The sequence below is a fragment of the Homo sapiens genome, chromosome 14 (assembly GCF_000001405.40).
Source record: "Homo sapiens chromosome 14, GRCh38.p14 Primary Assembly".
Lineage (NCBI taxonomy): Eukaryota > Metazoa > Chordata > Mammalia > Primates > Hominidae > Homo > Homo sapiens.
In genome coordinates, this window is record NC_000014.9 from 103,562,960 (window position 1) to 103,584,603 (window position 21,644).

The following is a 21,644-nucleotide window of genomic DNA, read 5'->3' on the forward strand; positions in this document are numbered from 1 at the left end:
GCAATGCTGCCGTGCGCCGCGGGAGCCAGGGGGCGTGGGGCCATGGTGGTCTTGCGGGCGGGGAAGAAGACCTTTCTCCCCCCTCTCTGCCGCGCCTTCGCCTGCCGCGGCTGTCAACTCGCTCCGGAGCGCGGCGCCGAGCGCAGGGATACGGCGCCCAGCGGGGTAAGCAGGGGCCTGGGGACATTGGGCCGGGAGGGGTGACCGGAAGGGAAGACAAACCCGGGCCTCGGGGCCACTCCCTGTTCTGCACAGCCGCCTCAGGCCTTTGTCCAGGTGCTCTCGCGTCCTATCCCGAACAGTCCCGCAGCCCCGAGGCTCCCGCATCAACGCCCTCAGTCGGATGGGACTGAGGGTGCCGCCGCCACCACGCCGGGGACTGTTGACAGCCAGAACCTTTAAGCGTAACAGAGTCACCTGGCAAGTTTGTACCTACCTTATTTGTTCCCGAGAATGATTATTTTTTATTTTTAAAGAGCTCTTGGCTTACCGTGCGTTTTTTTTCGTTGTGTGTGTGTGTGTTTTGGCTTTGTTACAATTATTAGTGCTTTTCTTCAAGCGGCGAGCACTTTATCATCGTACTTTTGTAGCACTTCACGTTGAATAGTTGTTATTTGCAAACTATGTGTGGGTATATGCATGTTACTGGCCAAAGATCCGCAAAGAATGTCTGTAGCAAGAATGTCTGTGGCAAGCAATTTTTATAAGTGGTACTTTTGGGAGGGATGTTTTGTTTAAGGGAGGCCTAGGCCTTGATTCCGTCTGTCAGATGAAAATGTTGACTAACGGTGTGGAATGGGCTGGAGATAAAATATTCAAGCAAAGCATGCAAATACCAAACAGGCTAATGAAGGAGGCTGGAAAACTTGGTTTAAACAATAATTAAAGAAGTATTAAAAAAGTGTTAATTAAAAATTGGACGGGCTCCGTGGCTCACGCTTGTAATCCCAGCACTTTGGGAGGCCGAGGCAAGCGGATCACGAAATCAAGAGGTGAGACCATCCTGCCCAACATGGTGAAACGTCTCTGCTAAAAATACAGAAATTAGCTGGGCATAGTGGCGCGCGCCTGTAGACCCAGCTACTCGGGAGGATGAGGCAGGAAAATCGCTTGAACCCGGGAGACGGAGGTTGCTGTGAGTCGAGATCGCGCCACTGCACTCCAGCCTGGCGACAGAGGGAGACTTCATCTCAAAAAAAAAAAAGCTAATTAAAAATTGCAAATGTACTTGCTTGTACATTTTCATTTCTGTTGGGCTGTGGCTGTTAGTACACTTTCATAATTGTAGCTTTGAAGGTCTATCTAGTTTACAATTTAAACAAGGAGTTACCAGGGCAACTTGCCAACCAGACACCCAAGTGGCTAGCTCAGTTCTGTGTTACAGTGACCAAGTCCTTGCCTTCTATCCCTAGAACATAGAAACCCACCCAGCATCTCTATCTTTGGGCAGAAAGATAGAGCAGGTGTCTGAAAATGCTCTAAGAGAGCAAACGGGAAATCAACCAAGACATTTCCCGGGCGGGGGGGATTTTCCCTAGCTTATTTTGTGAACTTGTGCTGGAAAGAAACAACAGCACCCAAATAAGGATTTCTCTATTGTCATATACACTTCTTTTTTTTTTTTTTTTTTTTTTTTTTGAGTTGGAGTCTCCCTCTGTCGCCCAGGTGGGAGTACAGTGGCGTGATCTCAGCTCACTGCAACCTCTGCCTCCCGGGCTCAAGCGATTCTCGTGCCTCAGCCTTCCGAGTAGCTGGGACTACAGGGGCCCACCACCATGCCCGGCTAATTTTTTTGTATTTTTAGTAGAGACAGGGTTTCACCTGTTGGCCAGGCTGGTTTCAAACTCCTGACCTCAAGTGATGCGCCTGCCTGGGCCTCCCAAAGTGCTAGGATTACAAGTGTGAGCCACCACTCTCAGCCTTAGACTTCTTGTTAAAGTAAAATAAATCTTACCATGGGTCTGTTCTCAAGATGAGAGACCTCTCTGCCTTGTTCGTTTTTTCTTTTTTCGAGATGGAGTTTTTGCTCTGTTGCCCAGGCTGGAGTGCAATGGCGCAGTCTCGGCTCACTGCAACCTTTGCCTACTGGGTTCAAGCAATTCTCCTGCCGCAGCCTCCTGAGTATAGCTGGGATCACAGGCGCATGCTGCCACGCCTGGTTAATTTTTTTTTCTTTTTTTAGTAGAGATGGGGTTTCACTATGCTGGCCAGGCAGGTCTCGAACTCCTGACTTCAGGTGATCCACCCGCCTTGGCCTCCCAAAGTGCTGAGATTATAAGTGTGAGCCACCATGCCCAGCCAGCACCAGCTTTTAATTGAAAAATATTATAGAACTTAAGAGTCAGGCACCATTCTTCCTTCCAAATCCATCTTTAAAACTCAGCTTTTCAGAAATATAACTGCTTTTGGTAAAGAAAAAAAAATTAAGACTTTTAAATTCTGTTCCCTAGCCACTTCATGCCTGCTTATGTCTTACCTATGTAGTTTGCATCATTGGTTCCTAAACTTGTTTGCACGTAAGAATTAGTCTGACTCTTTTAGTTCTTTTTTTTTCTTTAATCCGGAAGTTCCTGAACCAGAATAGGTTCAGAGATACTCCCTTTTAGTTCTTTTTAATCCATAGGTTCTGCCTCCATCACCTCCCCACCTTTTTTTTTAATTTTTTTTTTTTTTTGAGATGGAGTCTTGCTCTGTCACCCAGGCTGGAGTGCAGTGGCGTGATCTCAGCTCACTGCAACCTCCACCGCCCGGGTTCAAGCAATTCTCCTGCCTCAGCCTCCTGAGTAGCTGGGATTACAGGTGCCTACCACCATGCCCGGCTAATTTTTGTATTTTTTGTAGAGACGGGTTTCACCATGTTGGCCAGGGTGGTCTTGAACTCCTGACCTCAGGTGATCTGCTCACCTCAGCCTCCCAAAGTGCTGGGATTACAGGTATGAGCCACTGTGCCTGGCCCAAAGTCACTTTTAGCTTCAAAAATGAGCTGTAGGGTATGCCTTCTTTTCCTGTTTCCGTGGATTGTTTACTAAGGTTTGAATTTTTCTGTGACTGGTAGAACCTACAAGTCATTTGAACCTGAGTTTTCATAAGAACAAGCCATTTTAACCCCATCTTCTTTTTGGTTAGAGTTTAACCCCATCTTCTTTCTGGTTAGAGTTACTAAACTGGTAAATAAGAGTGATCCGGCCAGGCATGGTGGCTCACACCTTGCCAGCACTTTGGGAGACTGAGGCAGGCAGATCACCTGAGGTCAGGAGTTCAAGACCAGCCCGGCCAACATGGTGAAATCCTGTCTCTACAAAAATACAAAAATTAGCCGGGCATGATGGTGGTACCTGTAATCCCAGCTAGTTGGGAGGCTGAGGCGGGAGAATCGCTTGAACCCAGGAGGCAGAGGTTGCAGTGAGCCGAGATCGCGCCATTGCACTCCAGCCTGGGCGATGGACCAAGACTCATTCTCAAAAAGAAAAAAAAGAGTGAGCCATTGCATATTGATTTAAACAAGACATCTGATAAAGTCTCATGTATTTTTGAAAACCGTGTCCTGTATTGTGGTGCTTAAAACACCAATGGAAACATTTGTCTCAGGGTGGTTGGCATTTCCTGCACAGGTTCTTCATGAGGTGCCAGAGATACAGAAATGAATGTGTGTGCCTCTTTTCACACATGCACAGATGGCTCTCCAGGCAGGAGCTCTGCATGCTAACACATGCCTCCCTGGTGCCTAGAGCAGTGCTTGGCCTTTGCATGGTGGTGCAGGGGCAGGCAGGTTGATGCTTATGGAGAATGGCTGAATCCACCATGTCCATCTTTGGAATCTATCAGAAGTTTATTGTTTGCAGCTCCAGGCAGGGTCTCCTGAGGATGCAAGGGAGCACCACCCTGGGCCTGCCTGTTGGGCACCTAACTTCTGAGAGGAGGAGGGTTGGAACAAGTCCACAAATAACCATATTTTTCCCTTTTTTGGACATAGGGTCTTGCTCTGTTGCCCAGGCTGGAGTGCAGTGGCACAAACATAGCTCACCACAGCCTCAACCTCACTGGCTCAAGTAATCTTCCTGCCTCAGCCTCTTTAGTAGCTGGGGCTACAGGCATGTGCCACCGCACCTGGCTGATTTTTAAAATTTTTTTGGCAGGGCGCGGTGGCTCGTGCCTGTAATCTCAGCACGTTGGAAGGCCGAGGCAGGTGGATCATCTGAGGTCAGGAATTCAAGACCAGCCTGGCCAACGTGGTGAAACACCGTCTCTACTGAAAATACAAAAATTAGCCGGGCGTGGTGGCGCATGCCTGTAATCCCAGCTACTCGGGAGGCTGAGGCAGGAGAATTGCTTGAACCTGGTAGGCGGAGGCTGCAGTGAGCCAAGATCGCGCCACTGCACTCCAGCCTGGGCAACAATGCGAGACTCTTTCTCAAAAAAAAAAAAAAAAAAAAATTTTTTTTTGTAGCTTTGCACAGCGGCAGTATTGTAGCCAATGAGATTTATCTGAGGTGTGATTATTGATAATTGAAAACTTTTCCCAATACCCTGCCGTGATGACTTGCAATATAGTCAGCACTGGCAATTTTTGACAGTCTCTACAGAGACTGAAAACAAAAATTTTTTTTATAGAGATGGGGTCTCACTTTGTTGCCCAGGCTGGCCTCAAACTCCTGAGCTCAAGCAGTCCACCTACCTCGGCTTCCCAAGGTGCTGGGATTACAAGTGTAAACCACCAAGCCCAGCCCACAAATCATCTTTAGACAAATTGTCTAATCATCTTTAGACAATACTGAGGTGCAGGCCTTGTGTCTGTTGGTGGTGGGAAAGAGATGGTTGACTAGGGCCTTAAAGATAATAAAAATAATTAACGTATGTATACAGCAGGGGTGGCTTCCTGCTGTGGTCACTCCAGCGTTGGGTGAAAGTGTTCCAGCCTGGATAGCTCTCCCATCTCGTTGGCATTCCTGAAATTAGGAGACTGTTTTCATTGACTTTCTAGTGTTTGCCCTTCTGGTGGATTATCCTTCTTTTATATTGCTGGATCGGGTTTGCGGATTTGTCTAGCATCCATGTAGAATAGGGGGCTGGGGACCCTAACCCTCAGTAAATATGAAGTTCCTGACTCCTTCTCAGATGGGAACTCAAAGCCTTTATAGAACTGAGAGTTAGAACAGGAAGCAAGAACGCTAAGAGCTTGCTAACATTTTTCTCTTCATTATTCCCTGGTGGTTTCCCCATGGTAGCTTTGTGTCATGTACGGGCACTTCCAGGAATAGGGTGCAGGAGAAACGTCTCAGTGTCTCCCCTTCCGAATCTTGGCTTCTGGAGGGAGAGATGCTGGGGTGGGAGTGCTCCTTGGTGGAGTACTCAGGAGCTTAGTAAAAGCAGAGGGGGCTGGAGAGGCAGGCCTGGCCTGCAGAGCCAGCATGGAGAAGCCTGGTGTAGGGCTCTCCAGCCTGCCAATTTACAGTTAAGAAGAAAGGAGATATGTATATATATATATACACACACATACATACATACATACACACACACATATATACACACATATATATACACACATGTATACATATATATACACACACATACACATATACACACACATGTACACATATACACACATATATACGTGTGTGTGTATATATATATATATGTATACGTATATATATATGTGTGTGTGTATATATATATATATATATATATATAGTGACAGGGTCTCACTCTGTCACCCAGGTTGGAGTGCAGTGACACGATCTTGGTTCACTGCAACCTCCGCCTCCCAGGTTCAAGCAATTCTTGTGCCTCAGCCTCCCAAGTAGCTGGGATTACAGGTGCACACCACCACGCCCAGCTTATTTTTTGGTATTTTAAGTAGAGGCGGGGTTTCACCATGTTGGCCAGGCTGGTCTCGAACTCCTGACCTCAAATGATCCACCTGCTTCGGCTTCCCAAAGTGCTGGGATGACAGGCGTGAGCCACCGCGCCCGGCTGAAAAAAGATTTTCACAAGAACCGGAAGGTTAACTCCCCTCCCAGACCCAAAGATGCAGATTCGGCCTGACCAGTAGGAATGCACATGTGCCTCTCTGTGACAAGGGCAGAACTGAGGCTGCTTCTCAGGAGACTGTGAGGGTCTAGCGTGCCCTCCCCGCAGACATGAGGGCCGGATGGAAGAGCCTTCTGTCCCCAGCATAGCCAATGGGACACCATGAATCATAGGCTTGTACTGTGGAAACTAGCAATTATGGTAATTATTCGCACTACAAAGGGCTCTTCCTCTTACCAAAGGACATTTTCCTCCCCCAAGCTGCTTGTCCTCGCTTTTAAATAGTAGCTCCTCCGTGAATAAAGGCAGAAACATGTGGTTATAGGGAAGAACAAAGGAAGATAACATCTCTCACATTATAATGGCAAACAATGATTTGAAAATATCGGTACACCAGCTTTATCCGTAAAGCAGTTTATGTGAGTGATAACTGGTAGATAAATATGGAAAAGTAGCCGAACACACTTGACACCTCTCTGAGCTTGCTTTGTGATATGTGGGCAGCTAGAAAAAGCAGCTAATTATTAGGTGGCTCCTTTAACATTTCCTGATGGGGAGCCTGTGAGCAGAAAAGAGCGGGTGCAGCCCTGGACAGTGGTCATGCACGGTTAGCGCGAAACCCACTGAGCTGCAGACACCCGGGTCAGCTCGGAGGAGGGAAGGAGTCGCCGTCCTGGGCCACAGTCTAGGGGGGTGGACCGTGGTGCCGTCCCTTTGGTGGGACTCACCTTAGTTTCTACCAACAGCTAAATATCACAGATGCAAAGACTTGGGGGAGAAGCCCATGAACATTTTCTGAGTCCTTTAATGTATGATAAGGAAAAAAATAATAAAAGTCAACATTTGTAGAAATCTAGGTTTTGGTTTTTTGTTTGTTTGTTTTTTTTTGAGACGGAGTCTCGCTCTGTCGCCCAGGCTGGAATGCAGTGGTGCGATCTCGGCTCACTGCAACCTCTGCCTCCCAGGTTCAAGCAATTCTCCTGGCTCAGCCTCTCATATAGCTGGGACTACAGGTGCCGGCCACCACGCATGGCTAATTTTTGTATTTTTAGTAGAGATGGGGTTTCACCATGTTGGTCAGGCTGGTCTCGAACTCCCGACCTTAGGTGATCCACCCACCTCAGCCTCCCAAAGTGCTGGGATTACAGGCGTGAGCCACCGCACCTGGCTAGAAATGTAGGTTTTATTTTTTTAATGGGATATTTGGTGATTGTATATAGTTTTTAGACTGATGGGTAAAATGTTGAAGGTCTGTATTGCAATCCTGCCTTTACTTTCTAAAAAGGATTCCTAAATTGATCCAGCATCAAATCAGTGTATTTTAACCCTGACGATGAGCAGTATAGTTTCAGGTCTTGAATAGCAGGGTCCCCCCACTATAACTCCCTGACAGTTCTTCTTGCCCATTGCACAAACAAAACCAGTTCATGGAGACCATGGCATTGCAGTAAAGAAAGAGTTTAGGGCCAGGCACGGTGGCTCACGCCTGTAATCCCAGCACTTTGGGAGGCTGAGGCAGGCAGATCACCTGAGGTCAGGAGTTCAAGATCAGCCTGGTCAACATGGTGAAACCCCATCTCTACTAAAAATGCAAAAATTAGCCGGGCGTGGTGGCATATGCCTATAATCCCAGCTACTCAGGAGGCTGAGGCAGGAGAATCGCTTGAACCCGGGAGGCGGAGGTTGCAGTGAGCCAAGATCACACCACTGCACTCTAGCCTGGGCGATAGAGCGAGACTCCATCTCAAAAAAAAGAAAGAGTTTAATTGATGTGAGGCCAGCCATGCTACATGGAAGAGTTATTACTCAAATCAGTCTCTCCTCGCATCTGGGGGCTAGATTTTTTCAAAAATAGTTTGGAGGAAGGGGTGGAGGTGGCTAGGCAATGGGTGCTTGCTGCCGATTGGTCTGGGTGCAATCACAGGGGTGTGGGACTCATCCTCCTGCATGCCGAGTGGCTTCTGGGCGGGTCCAGGAGGAGCCATCACGTTGGACTTGCAAAAAACCTGAAAAGATATCTCAAAAAGCCAATCTTAGGTTCTGCAATAGAGATGCAGGAGTAATTGGAGAAGTTGCAGATCTTGTGACCTCTGGAATGATGGCTGGCACCTTACCAGAATTCAGACTCCTCACCTCCTCCTAGCCTGGTAGGGTCTCTCATTAGCTTAAGAAAGCTTAGCTCCATCCTGGCTAACAGGGTGAAACCCCATCTCCACTAAAAAATACAAAAAAATTAGCCGGGCGTGGTGATGGGCGCCTGTAGTCCCAGCTACTTGGGAGGCTGAGGCAGGAGAATGGCGTGAACCTGGGAGGCGGAGCTTGCAGTGAGCCGAGATCTCGCCACTGCCCTCCAGCCTGAGCGACAGAGTGAGACTCTGTCTCAAAAAAAAAAAAGAAAGCTTAGCAAAGGTGGTTGAGTTTCGGGAAAGGGCTGTTATTATTTAAACCAGAAACTAGGCCCTGTGTGGTGGCTCCTACTTGTAATCCCAGCACTTTGGCTGAGATCACGCCACTACACTCCAGTCTGGCAACAGAGCGAGACTCCGTCTCTAAGTAAATAAATAAATCCAGATTGTACATTTTATAATACTAGAGATTCATTTTGTCATATGTTAATCCAATTTACTTTGTTAAAGGTCTCAAGATTCTGCCCTCCAAGAAAGTCTTGCCATGATTGGATAGGACCCCCAGATAAATATTCAAACCTTCGACCTGTTCACTTTTACATACCTGAAAATGAATCTCCATTGGAACAAAAGCTTAGAAAATTAAGACAAGAAACACAAGAATGGAATCAACAGTTCTGGGCAAACCAGAATTTGACTTTTAGTAAGGTAAGTTTAAGTTTTAGATCAGAACGGAAGGGTGCGGTGGCTCACGCCTGTAATCCCAGCACTTCGGGATGCCGAGGTGGGCAGATCACGAGGTCAGGAGATCGAGACCATCCTGGCTAACACGGTGAAACCCTGTCTCTACTAAAAATACAAAAAATTAGCCCGGCGTGGTGGCGGGCGCCTGTAGTTCCAGCTACTCGGGAGGCTGAGGCAGGAGAATGGCGTGAACCCGGGAGGCAGAGCTTGCAGTGAGCGGAGATTGCGCCACTGCACTCCAGCCTGGGTGACAGAGCCAGACTCGTCTCAAAAAAAAAAAAAGAAAAAAAAGTTTTAGATCAGAATGAGAAATAACACAGTTGGCCACTTGAGGGTGCTAGGTGTTTAGTATATTGCTTTGCTATTTGTTACGTGGTAGTACTGGGTCTCAGTCCATCCCCCGCACTGTATGTACATATATGCATATAGTTTTAAAAACTAATATGTAACTGTATATAAGAAATGGTCATTCGTAGAACCACAGATCTTGAGACTTTGAAGGATGCAATGTGTGAGCAGCAGAGCCAGAACTAGAAGTACATGTTTTACACACATAGGTGTGTGTGTTTATCTTTATGAGAATACCGGTTTTTTTAGGTGGGGCATGATGGCTCTGCAATCCCAGCACTTTGGGAGGCTGAGAGGGGTGGATCACTTGAAGCCAGGAGTTTGAGAGCAGCCTGGCCAACGTAGCGAAACCTTATCTCTACTAAAAATATAAAAATGAGCCAGGTGTGGTGGCATATGCCTGTGATCCCCATGACTTGGGAGGCTGAGGCACAAGAATTGCTTGAACCCAGGAGGCGGAGGTTGCAATGAGCCGAGAGCGCGCCATTGCACTCCAGTCTGGGTGACAGGAGTGAGACCCTCAAAAAGAAACCCGTTTTTGTGATGTGTTGTCATTCTTCCTGAGAATTCAAAAAAAAAAAAATTTTTTTCTTTTTTGAGACGGAGTCTCGCTCTGTCACCAAGCTGGAGTGCAGTGGTGCGATCTCAGCTTACTGCACCCTCCACCTCCCAGGTTCAGGTGATTCTCTTGCCTCACCCTCCCGAGTAGCTGGGATTACAGGCACACACCTCCGTGCCCAGCTAATTTTTGTACTTTTAGTGGAGATGGGATTTCACTCTGTTGGCCAGGATGGTCTTGATCTCCTGACCTCGTGATCCGCCCACCTCGGCCTCCCAAAGTGTTGGGATTACAAGCATAAGCCACCATGCCCAGCAGAGAATTCAAAATTCTTAACAGGATACTTATAAATAAACTGTGTAAGAAAGAAGTATAAATAGTCTAAACCAGAAGAAAAACATTTAACTTTTTTTTTTTTCTTCTGAGATGGAGTTTCACTCCTGTTGCCCAGGCTGGAGTGCAGTGACATGATCTCAGCTCACTGCAACCTCCACCTCCCTGGTTCAAGCGATTCTCCTGCCTCAGCCTCCCAAGTAGCTGGGATTACAGGCGCCCGCCACCACACCCGGCTAATTTTTGTATGTTTAGAAGAGATGGGGTTTCACCACATTGGCCAGGCTGGTCTTGAACCCCTGACCTTCAGGTGATTCGCCTGCCTTGGCCTCCCAAAGTGCTGGGATTACAGGCATGAGCCATCGTGCCCGGCAACATTTAAACTTTGACTTTCCATTTGAGTGGGCTATGTCTGGTGGGGTATATTTATCATATTCTGTGGAGGGTTTTTTTTGTTGTTGTTGTTTTTGTTTTGAGACAGAGTCTCACTCTGTTGTCCAGGCTGGAGTGCAGTGGCGTGATCTCGGCTCACTGCAACCTCCGCCTCCTGGGTTCAAGCAGTTCTCCCGCCTCAGCCTCCTAAGTAGGTGGGATTACAGGTGCCCACCATCACATTGGGCTAATTTTTGTATTTTTAGTAGAGACGGGGTTTCTCCATGTTGGCCAGGCTGGTCTGGAACTCCTGACCTCAGGTGATCCACCCACCTCGTCCTCCCAAAGTGCTGGCATTATGGGTGTGAGCCACTGTGCCTGACCTATTCTGTGGATTTATAAACAAACAGCGTCTCCCAAAGTTTATTGAACATCTTCTCAAATCCTGTTTCAAGCACAAAACTTTTAACCACATTCAGAGGGTTTTAAACGAGCTTTGAGATGGGTCACTAGCTTCTCAGAAAATCCACATCTAAACTTCTCCAGTACACCGTGAGCTGTGCTCTAGCCAAAGAAAAATGGAAAGACAGAGAAAGGAGTTCTGAGAGCCTTTTTTTTTTTTTTTTTTTTTTTTTAAGGAAAAAGAAGAATTTATTCACTCAAGACTAAAAACTAAAGGCCTGGGCCTGAGAACTGAATCAGGTTAGTGTGTTTGTTTGATTGTTTTTTTTGCTTTCTTTGCGTTTGAGCTAGTCCATGAAAAGGGAAAGGAAGGGCGGTGAGAGAGGTGGGGAAGTTCAGGGCGGTCCTTGGCCTGCTTTGGGGCAGTGCTCGGCACACCCCTGTCCAAGTTCTCTTGCACACCCAGTTCCCAGGCATGGCTCTCCAATCTCAGCTCCCTCCTTTCTCTCCGGATTTTAGGTGGTTATGATGGATGACCAACCTCTGACCTTTGACTTTCGTACTGAGGTCTCAGCCTTTGCAGCTTCTCCCTCCAAAGCAGCTTTTCTTCTGATTCCTGATCTCAGTTCAGTGCTCAAAATAGCCTCTCCTTATTTTCTCCTGGTGTCAGTGTTAGGCCTGAATAACATCTCATGCTGTTCGTTAAACAGATGTCTGCTGCCAAAAAGTTGTTCTGATAGAAAATCCAAAATCATCGACCCCAAAAGCCAAGTCTGTCATTGGGCTAAAGTGCCATTCCTACTAATCCTTTGCCTCACCTGATTCATTTGGAATAAAGGGCCAGGAGCTTGAGTCACCCCCATGCCAGGACCTCTGTTGCTATTTGCTGGCTGCTGGAGAGGTGGGGTCTTGCGGGCCCTGGAGAGGTGGGGTCTTGTGGGGCAGAGCTGGAGCAGATGCTGCATCCAGCAGTAAGCATGAGAATGAGCACTCACAGTTTTGGGTCCTGTGCTGGACACTGTGCAAGTCCTGTGCATATATCACCTGTTGCATTTCCCACAGTGACCCAATGAAGTAGATACTGTTATCTTTACCATTTTATAGATGAGCAACCTGAGGCTTCACCAGAATTGCACAGTGAGAATGTGGCGTGGCCTGGATTCTCACGTCGGGAGTCGGATTGCAAAGCCTTACTGGGCCTCGCCGCGCCCCATGGCTGTCAGCGCATTCCATGCTGACCTGGCCGTGTATGCGTGCGTGTGTACGCATGTGTGTGCGTACGTGCACGTGTGTACATGTGTGTGTGCTTGTGTGCACACCACATGTGCCGTGTCCATAGGTCTGTCATCATATCAGGTAGGACTAGGTCGGCTCATAGCTTGGAAGGGCTTTGGAGACAGCCACTCTCCTAACAGATGGGAGAAGTTGTTTTGATTCTTACTAAGGTCCCAGAATCCTATTGATGGCTTTGCTGAGTATTGAAAGGCTGGCCTTAAATTAGGTTTGAAACTGAATTTGGTAATAGGACAGGATGTGTTAAGGAAGGGAAACATACAGGGAGCTGCCTGCTCTGGCAGCTGTTGAAAGTGAGCAGGCCACGGTGCCTGCAGTGGGAGTGGGGCAGCAGGCGTGTCACCTTGGGCCAGAGCACATGTCTTGTACACGGTTGCACCAATGCGTGAGGATGTAGGTCCCCAAGAGCCAAGAGAAGGGGAGCTTTGTTGAATACGTGATATTGGAGAAAGCTTTGGCCCAAAAGAACAAATTTAGATTCGTTCTCTCTGCAATACAAATGTATTCCAGTGGGTCAAAATGTTAATTATTATTAATTTCTTTTTTTGTTTCTTGAGTCAGGGTCTCACTCTGTCTCCCAGGCTGGAATGCAGTGGCACCATCTAGGCTTACTGCAGCCTTGACCTCCTGGGCTCAAGTGATCCTCCCACTTCAGCCTCCCAAGTAGCTAGGACTGCAGGTGCACGCCAGCACCACACCTGCCTAATTTTTGTGTTTTTTGTAGAGACGGAGTTTTGCCGTGTTGCCCAGGCTGGTCTCAAACTCCTGAGCTCAAGCAGTCCACTCACCTCATCCTCCCAAAGTGCTGGGATTACAGGCGTGAGCCACTGTGCCTGGCCAAAAAGTTAATTATTAAAAGTCAGGCCGGGCGCGGTGGTTCACGCCTGTAATCCCAGCACTTTGGGAGGCTGAGGCAGGGGAATCACAAGGTCAGGAGTTCGAGACCAGCCTGATCAACATGGTGAAACCCCGTCTCTACTAAAAATACAAAAATTAGCTGGTCGTGGTGGCACTTGCCTGTAATCCCAGCTACTCAGGAGACTGAGGCAGGAGAATCACTTGAACCCAGGAGGCGGAGGTTGCGGTGAGCCGAGATTGCGCCACTGCACTCCAGCCTGGGTGACAGAGCGAGACTCTGTCTCAAAAAAATAAAAAAAGAAAGTCGATTGTTTATGGATTAAAGAGTTAGATACATAGTTCGCAGCTGTAGAGCATCTAATAGGATATAACAGACTCACCATTATCTGGAGGAATGATACCGTCCTGAGCTTGAGGGTGAAGACAGAGATATTCAAGAACATAAAAGCTGAAAACGTCTGTGTTAAGACTCCTTTTGATCCAGGTTTCTGGACAGGAGAGTTTGCTGAGCATATGTGGAGGTGGCTCAGTACCCAGAGGCGGGTGGAGCTGGCCCCAGTCATGGCCTGTGCTCAGACGCTAGGACCAGAGCAATTTCTTCCTCATGTTTAAACTTTTCTCCTAGGCCACTGCCTTACCTTTCTCATGCTATAAACTGGCTTTCTCTGCCTCCTTGTTTATCCCTCCTAAGTTCAAAGAAGCAGTCAGCTGAGGAGGCTGCCTTTCCTCAGGCTGGCTCCAGCCCGGTTGGGAGGTGCCCGGATTAGCTGAGGCAGAGGTGGGGCTTGTGCAGAGAGCCTGGCTGCTGCCATGGAGACGGGAGGAAGCAGGCAAAAGAGCAGGCCTGCTGGCAAAGGATCAGAGGGCTGGGTAGGCGCAGGGATCAGTGTCCCGGAAATGTGAGGAAGGGCAAGTGCTGGCAGCAAAACAACATGGGCAATTTGGACTTCAGGAAAAGCTGCCACAAATACTCAGAAATAACACACATTTATAGACAAATAACGTGACTACAAGAAGAAAAAATTGTTCAAACTCTAAATTTTACAAGGCATATTTGTTTATTTTTTTGAGATGGAGTCTCACTCTGTCACCAGGCTGGAGTGCAGTGGCGTGATCTCGGCTCACTGCAGTCTCCACCTCCGGGTTCAAGCAATTCTCCTGTCTCAGCCTTCCAAGTAGCTGGGATTATAGGCACCCGCCCCCACACCTGGCTAATTTGTGTGTGTGTGTGTGTTTCGTAGACGGAGTTTCACCATGTTGACCAGGCTGGTCTCAAACTCCTGACCTCAAGTGATCTTCTCATCTCAGTCTCCCAAAGTGGTGGGATTACAGGCATGAGCCACCGCGCCCAGCCTACAGTGCATATGCAACAAGAAGTCATCATTTCATGCTTACTCAGTTCATGGGGGAATGTTTTCAGTCTTGAGACTCAGTGCTGGCGGAGTTACATCAAAGGTGGATGGCAGCAGAAAATCCTCAGCCCCTTTTCCAGAAGAATTTAGCTACACATATTTACATATACCCCAGGAAGCAGGCAAATGATGCTCATGAATCATCTCTAAGAATTCATGTGAGAGCCAGGCTTGGTGGCTCATACCTGTAATCCCACCACTTTGTGAGGCTGAGGTGGGTGGATCACTTGAGCCCAGGAGTTTGAGACCAGCCTGGGCAACATGGTAAAACCCTTTGTCTACAAAAAATTTAAAAATAAAAATAATTAAGGCCGGGTGCGGTGGCTCATGCCTGTAATCCCAGCACTTTGGGAGGCTGAGGCAGGCGGATCACCTGAGGTCAGGAGTTTGAGACCAGCCTGACCAACATGAAGAAACTCCATCTCTACTAAAAATACAAAATTAGCCAGTCGTGGTGATGCATGCCTGTAATCCCAGCTACTCAGGAGGCTGAGGCAGAAGAATCGCTTGAACCCCGGAGGCGGAAGTTGCACTGAACCGAGATTGCACCATTGCACTCCAGCCTGGGCAGCAAGAGTGAAACTCCATCTCAAAAAAAAAAAAAAAAAAAAAAAGCCAAGTTTGGCAGTATGTGTCTGTAGTCCCAACTACTCGGGAGGCTGAGGTGGGAGGATCACTTGAGCCCAGGGGGTGGAGGCTGCAGTGAGCCGAGATTGTGTCACTGCACTCCAGCCTGAGTGACAGAGCCAGACTGTCTCCAAAAAAAAAATTCATGTGGGGAAACATGGGAAGAGTTCAGCTGTGTGTTCCTTGCAGCACAATCTTTCATTGCAGAAGAATGGGAAGAATGGAAATGCCCAGTACTAGAAGAACGGATAAGGCTGTGGTGGCCTACGCACTTACTGGCCTTCACCGGAATATTCTGCAGCAGTGCAGAAAAATGAGTGATTGAATTTGAAGTGCAAGCAGCAGAATACTGTGATTTCAGTTCTGCCAGTCTCAAAATTAAATCTCATTTGTAAGGCAGGCAGTATTGTGGGAGAATTCCTCTAATGTATTTCATTCCCAGAGTGTTTATGCAGTGGCAGGAAGAGTACCATCAAGATGGGTTTAGTTTAAGTCAGTCTCCTAAGTATTTATGAAACACCCACTCGGTTTTCAGTAAGTGTGGTGAACTCGGTGTTTTGCCTCTTTCCCTGAACTTAGCGGTAGGTTCGGTATTAAGCTGCAGTGCTGCAGTGTGGATGGTGCCCTGCTTAGCAGATATTACAGTGCTTCTGCTGCTTGTTGAGCCTTGGCCTGGGGGTGTTTGAGCCAAATGCAAGGAGACCTGTCCTGAGGGACGCCCATGTCAATGGAGTCAGGTGGCAGCAGCTGGTACCCCTGCCTTTGGGATACTCCCGTGGTCACCCTAACAGCAGTGACCACAAGCAAGCACTTCTGTGCCAGCCGCGCCCCTCCTGCCACACTGACGGAGTGTAGCTTCATGAGGTGCGCGGTTGCTGTCACACACTAGAGAGGAAGAAACTGAGATGGAGGTAAGTCACAGCTCTGGGGCCACACAGCCAGGTGGGGACAGTCTTGGCCTCTGTCCATCCCAGATGAGGTCTCGCTATGTTGACCAGGCTGGCCTCAAGCAGTCTTCCTGCCTCAACCTCTGAGTACGGACACAGTTTTGAGCGCCCTATATGTGTATTAACAGTAACACATGAGACAGAGTAGGCCCTCTTTATCCGAGGGATACATTCCAAGACCCCCAGTGAATGCCTAAGACTGAGGCTAGTACCAAGCCCTGTATGTACACTAGGTTTTTCCCTACACGGTTGTCCCTCCCCTATGTCCTCAGTTCAACCAACCACAGATTGAAAAATATTGAAAACAATAAACATATAAACAATAAAATATTGAAAATAAAAAATACAATTTTTTCTTTTTAGATGGAGTCTCACTCTGTCACCCAGGCTGGAGTGCAGTGGCACGATCTCGGCTCACTGCAAACTCTGCCTCCTGGTTCAAGCGATTCTCCTGCCTCAGCCTTCTGAGTAGCTGGGACTACAGGTACACACCACCACACCTGACTAATTTTTGTATTTTTAGTAGAGGCAGGGTTTCACCATGTTGGCCAGGCTGGTCTCAAACTCCTGACCTCAGATGATCCACCCACCTCGGCCTCCCAAAGTTCTGGGATTATAGGCATGAGCCACCGCGCCCGGCCAAAAATAGAAAAATTTAGAAGTACAGCATAACGGCCGGGCACGGTGGCTCACGCCTGTAATCCTAGCACTTTGGGAGGCTGAGGCGGGCAGATCACCTGAGGTCAGGAGTTCGAGACCAGCCTGGCCAACAATGTGAAATCCCGTCTATACTAAAGACACAAAACTTAGCTGGACGTGGTGGCGTATGCCTGTAATCCCAGCTACTTGGGAGGCTGAGGCAGGAGAATCATCTGAACCTGGGAGATGGAGGCTGCAGTGAGCCGAGATCATGCCACTGCACTCTAGCCTGGGCAACAAAGCAAGACTCTGTCTCAAAAAAAAAAAAAAAAAAAGTACAGCATGACAACTGTTCATACAGCATTTACATTGTATTAGGTATCATAAGTAATCCAGGGATGACTTAAAGCATATGGGAGGATGCGAGTAGGTTATTTGCAAATATTTGGAGACAAAGCCTTGCTCTGCCACTCAGGCTGGAGTGCAGTGGCGCGATCGTGGCTCCCTGGAGCTTCAACCTCCCAGGCTCAAGCCATCCTCCTGCCTCAGCCTCCCAAGTTGCTGGGACTACAGGCACATGCCACCATGCCTCGCTAATTTAAAAAAAAATTTTTTTGTAGAATTTTTTTCTATGTTGCCTAGGTTTATTACAACATTATATTTTATTTTATTTATTTTTCGAGATGGAGTATCAATCTGTCACCCAGGCTGGAGTGCAGTGGTGCAGTCTCTGCTCACTGCAGCTTCCGCCTCTGGGTTCAAGCAATTCTCCTGCCTCAGCCTCCCAAATAGTGAGGACTACAGGCATCTGCCACCATACCCAGCTAATTTTTGTTTTTTGTTTTTTGTGGTTTTTTTTGTTTTTTGAAGCGGAGTCTCACTCTGTCGCCAGGCTGGAGTGCAGTGGCCCTATCTTGGCTCACTGCAACCTCCACCTCCCGGGTTCAAGCAATCCTCCTGCCTCAGCCTCCTGAGTAGCTGGGACTACAGGTGTGTGCTACCACACCAAGCTAATTTTTTTTGTATTTTTAGTAGAGATGAGGTCTCCCATGTTGGCCAGGATGGTCTCAATCTCTTCACCTCAGATCCACCCACCTCAGCCTCCCAAAGTGCTGGGATTACAGGCGTGAGCCACTATCCTTGGCCTGTTGTTTTTTTTTTTTTTTTGAGACGGAGTTTCATTCTTGTTGCCCAGGCTGGAGTGCAGTGGCGCAATCTCAGCTCACTGCAACCTCTGCCTCCTTGGTTCAAGGAATTCTCCTGCCTCAGCCTCCTGAGTAGCTGGCATTATAGGCATGTGCCACCACGCCCGGCTAATTTTTTTTGTATTTTTAGTAGGGATGGAGTTTCTCCATTTTGGTCAGGCTGTTCTGGAACTCCCAACCTCAGGTGATCCGCCCGTCTTGGCCTCCCAAAGTCCTGGGATTACAGGCGTGAGCCACCGCGCCCAGCCTGTTACACCATTTTATATAAAGGATTTGAGCATCCTGAAATGTTGGTATCTGTAGGAGTCCTGGAACCAACCTCCTATCGATACCAAGGGACAACTTTTCATTTTTAGCTATGATAAAGTTTATAAATTAGGCATGAGAGACTAGCAATGATAACTAATAAAATAGAACAAGTGTAACAATATGCCAGCATCTCTAATCTTGTATTTTGCAACCATTACCAAGTAAATAAGGGTTACTCAGACACAAGCACTGCTGTACGACGACAGTGGATCTGATCACCGAGACGGCTGCTGAGTAACTAACGAGTGGGGCGCGTCTACACTGTGGAGGTGCTGGACAGAGGGAGGAGTCGCCTCCTGGGCTGGTCGGAGTAGGACCTTGGGAGGTTTCATCACGCTACTCAGAACAGCATGCAGTTCAAAACTTATGACTTGTTCATTTCTGGAATTTTCCATTTAATATTTTCAGACCCCACTTTACCTCGGGTAACTGAAACCATGGAAAGAAAAACCATGGATGGAGGGGACAGCTGTGCTGCCGCCATCTCCCTTACACAGTTGAGTAAACCGAGGCACAGAAGAAAATGAAGTAGCCCCAGATGACGTAGGAAATGGCAGAACTGAAGGGAAAAGCAGAGCAGGGGGCTGTAGAGTTAAACTGTTCTTCATTCCGGTGGCACTAGACCTGCCCGGGCGGCCAGAGGACACGTGGCTCCTGTCCTGTCTGCCGTGTGGCTAGGGGACAGCCGTGCTTGTGCTGTGCCGTCTGAGTGTTTGTTTCTGTCTGTGGGAATAAAGGGGTTGCCAGACACCCTCCCTGCTCTGTGGAGGGAGGGTGGAATCATGCCTTTGGCCACTTTGCCCACTCCCCCTTGGGCCGGAGCATCAGCATTAGCTGTGCCACAGGGTGGTATGCGCTCTGCTGAAGGTGGCACCTTCAGGGAAAGGCAGTCTGCCGGGGAGGCTAGCGAGCACCCTGGGTAGGAGCTGAGCGTGGCCTCCGCGCCTCCTCATGGGAAGTGCTGGAGATGCAGGAGCCCCTGAGCCAGAGCCCAGCGCTCTTACAAGAGACCTCACTTCCTGTTCGGGGACTGGGGCTGCTAAGTCAGAGTGCGCCTCCTGCACCCGCCACCCTGGATGTGGTTCCATTCCCTGGTCCCTGAGCCATAGCTGGGGGGCATGAGACTGTCCCCTGGGCTGCTTTGGGGACCCTACTTCAGGGCAGCCCTGCCACTCCCTGTAACGGGCTGTGGGTCCTGCCCTGTGGCCTTCCTACCTCTCTTGCGTGTGGGTGAGCCTGAGCGTGGCCACCGCCCTGGGAGTGCCACAGAGGCAAGCGGCACTGGTCCTCATGTGTAAACAGCCCCACCAGCACGCGGGGCTGGAGTAGTCAGGCCGGGACCTGTCCCAGGAATGGGCAGGCTGTTAACCTAGGATGCATTCAAGTTAGGACACATTTCATTCCCGTGTAGCGGTGGCTCCCAGTTCCTCCGCAGAACCTGCAGGAGTGTGCGTGATGAAACCCGTCACTCGTTGTGTATGGTAGACATACCTGCCTGGGTCGTAATCACTTGTGAAGAAAATGAATTATGCTGTGACCTTTAGATACGATTCACATACCATAAAATTCACCCTGCCTTTTTTTTTTTTTTTTGAGATGGAGTCTCCTTGTCGTGCCCTGCCTAAATTCACCCTTTTAAACTGTATAATTCCATGGCTTTTAGTAGTCACAAGATTGTACAACTACATCACTAATTCTGAACATTTTCATCACCTCAAGAAGAAACCCCACACCCATTAGCCAGTCTCAATTCCTGCCTCACCTAACCCCGGCAGCCCACTTTATATCTCTGGATTTGCCTATTCTGAACATTTCCAGATAAATGGAATCATACAATATGTGGTCTTTTGTGTCTGCCTTTTTTTCACTTAGGTTCATAATGTTTTCAAGATTTATTTATATTGTCTCATGTATTAGCACTTTGGAGATTTTTTTAATGGCTGTATAATATTCTATACGGATATACCATGTTTTGTTTATCCACTTACTAGTTGATGAACATTTGGATTATTTCTACCCTTTGGCTATTATGAATTATGCTACTGTGAATAATCCTGTGTATACCTACAGGTGAACTGCTGAGTTAAGAGTCTTTTTGGCCTGGCGCGGTGGCTCACGCCTGTAATCCCAGCTCTTTGGGAGGCCAAGGTGGGCGGATCACTTGAGGTCAGGAGTTCATGACCAGCCTGGCCAACATGGTGAAACCCGATCTCTACTAAAAATACAAAAAATTAGCTGGGTGTGGTGGCGGGCGCCTGTAATCCCAGCTACTCGGGAGGCTGAAGCAGGAGAATTTGCTGGAACCCGGGAGGTGGAGGTTGCAGTGAGCCGAGATTGTGCCATTGCACTCCAGCCTGGGCAACAGAGCAAGACTCGATCTCAAAAAAAAAAAAAAAAAAAAAAAAAGAGTCTTTTTTCCTCCTGAGACCAAATACCTGGTGTCTTCTCTAATTCCACTTCTCCAACTCCTCAACACCAGCTATAGGTGTCCAGCAATTCAGTTCAATTCTGACACTGTCTACTTGGAGTTCATGTCTGATGCCACAGGTTAAAGACCCAGTCCCACAAGATTGCCTCCACTGAGGCAGTCTTTCTCTTTGGATAAATTCCTGTTTACATCCTTTGCCGGTTGCCAGTCCTGGGCCACTTGTCCCTCTGCCTGACAGGCTATAAATCAGACTATGACCCCCTCCACAGGATTGATAATTTGCTAGAATGGATCACAACATTCAGAAAGGTGTTTTACTTACTCTTAGCGGTTTATTATTAAGGATACAACTCAGGGACAGCCAGATAGCAGAGATGCACATGGCAAGGTATGGGGGCATGCGGAGCCCCTGCGCCCTCTCTGGGCATGCCATCCTCCCAGCACCTTTTGTTTGTTTGTTTGTTTTTTTGAGCAGGTCTCACTCTGTCGCCCAGGCTGAGTGCAGTGGCATGATCATGGCTCACTGCAGCGTCAGCCTCCTGGGCTCAAGCAACCCTCCCTCGGCCCCACAAAGCACTGGGATAACAGGCGTGAGCCACCGTGCCTGGCCTCCCAGCACCTCAATATGTTCAGTAGCCCGGATGCTCTCTGAACCCCATGGTTTAGGGATTTTTATGGAGGTCTCATGAGGTAGGCATGGTTGATTAAATCATTGGCCGTTGGTAATTAGCTCAATCTCTACTCCCTCTCCTTTCCCCAAAACTGAAAGTTTTGAGCTTCCAATCAAGGCTTGGTCTTTCCGGCCCCCATCCCGAAGCAGTACAGGAGCCCACCAGAGCTGCCCCATTCGAACAGGAGCAGCTGCTATCACCCTTCATCACTCAGGAGATTCTGAGGTTTTAGGAGCTCTGTGCCAGGAACAGGGGACAAAGACCAAATACCTCTCTATAATGCCACGTGGGTCTTATGATCACGAACTCTGTGTTTAACTTTTTCAGGAATTACAAAGCTGTTT

At 48.2% G+C, this 21,644-nt stretch overlaps 1 protein-coding gene and 1 pseudogene across 5 annotated transcripts in view; both read left to right on the forward strand.

Moving 5' to 3' along the window:
• Positions 1-21,644, forward strand: part of COA8 (cytochrome c oxidase assembly factor 8) — a 27,940-nt gene continuing 6,296 nt past the window's right edge. The window contains exons 1-4 of one of the 5 annotated variants that reach the window (NR_126431.2): positions 1-165; positions 256-420; positions 8,664-8,861; positions 11,148-11,211. Coding sequence is in view for 3 of the 5 variants with exons in the window: in NM_001302653.2 (NP_001289582.2) it covers positions 43-165; positions 8,664-8,861; positions 11,148-11,211; positions 18,610-18,697 (473 nt within the window). In the remaining 2 variants the exon portion in view is untranslated. Of the gene's footprint in view, positions 166-255; positions 421-8,663; positions 8,862-11,147; positions 11,212-11,430; positions 11,774-18,609; positions 18,698-21,644 lie in introns of those variants that run through there. The other 4 variants (NM_001302653.2, NM_001302654.2, NM_001370595.2 and 1 more) reach the window with 4 other exon arrangements.
• Positions 4,446-4,586, forward strand: RNU4-68P (RNA, U4 small nuclear 68, pseudogene; annotated as a pseudogene).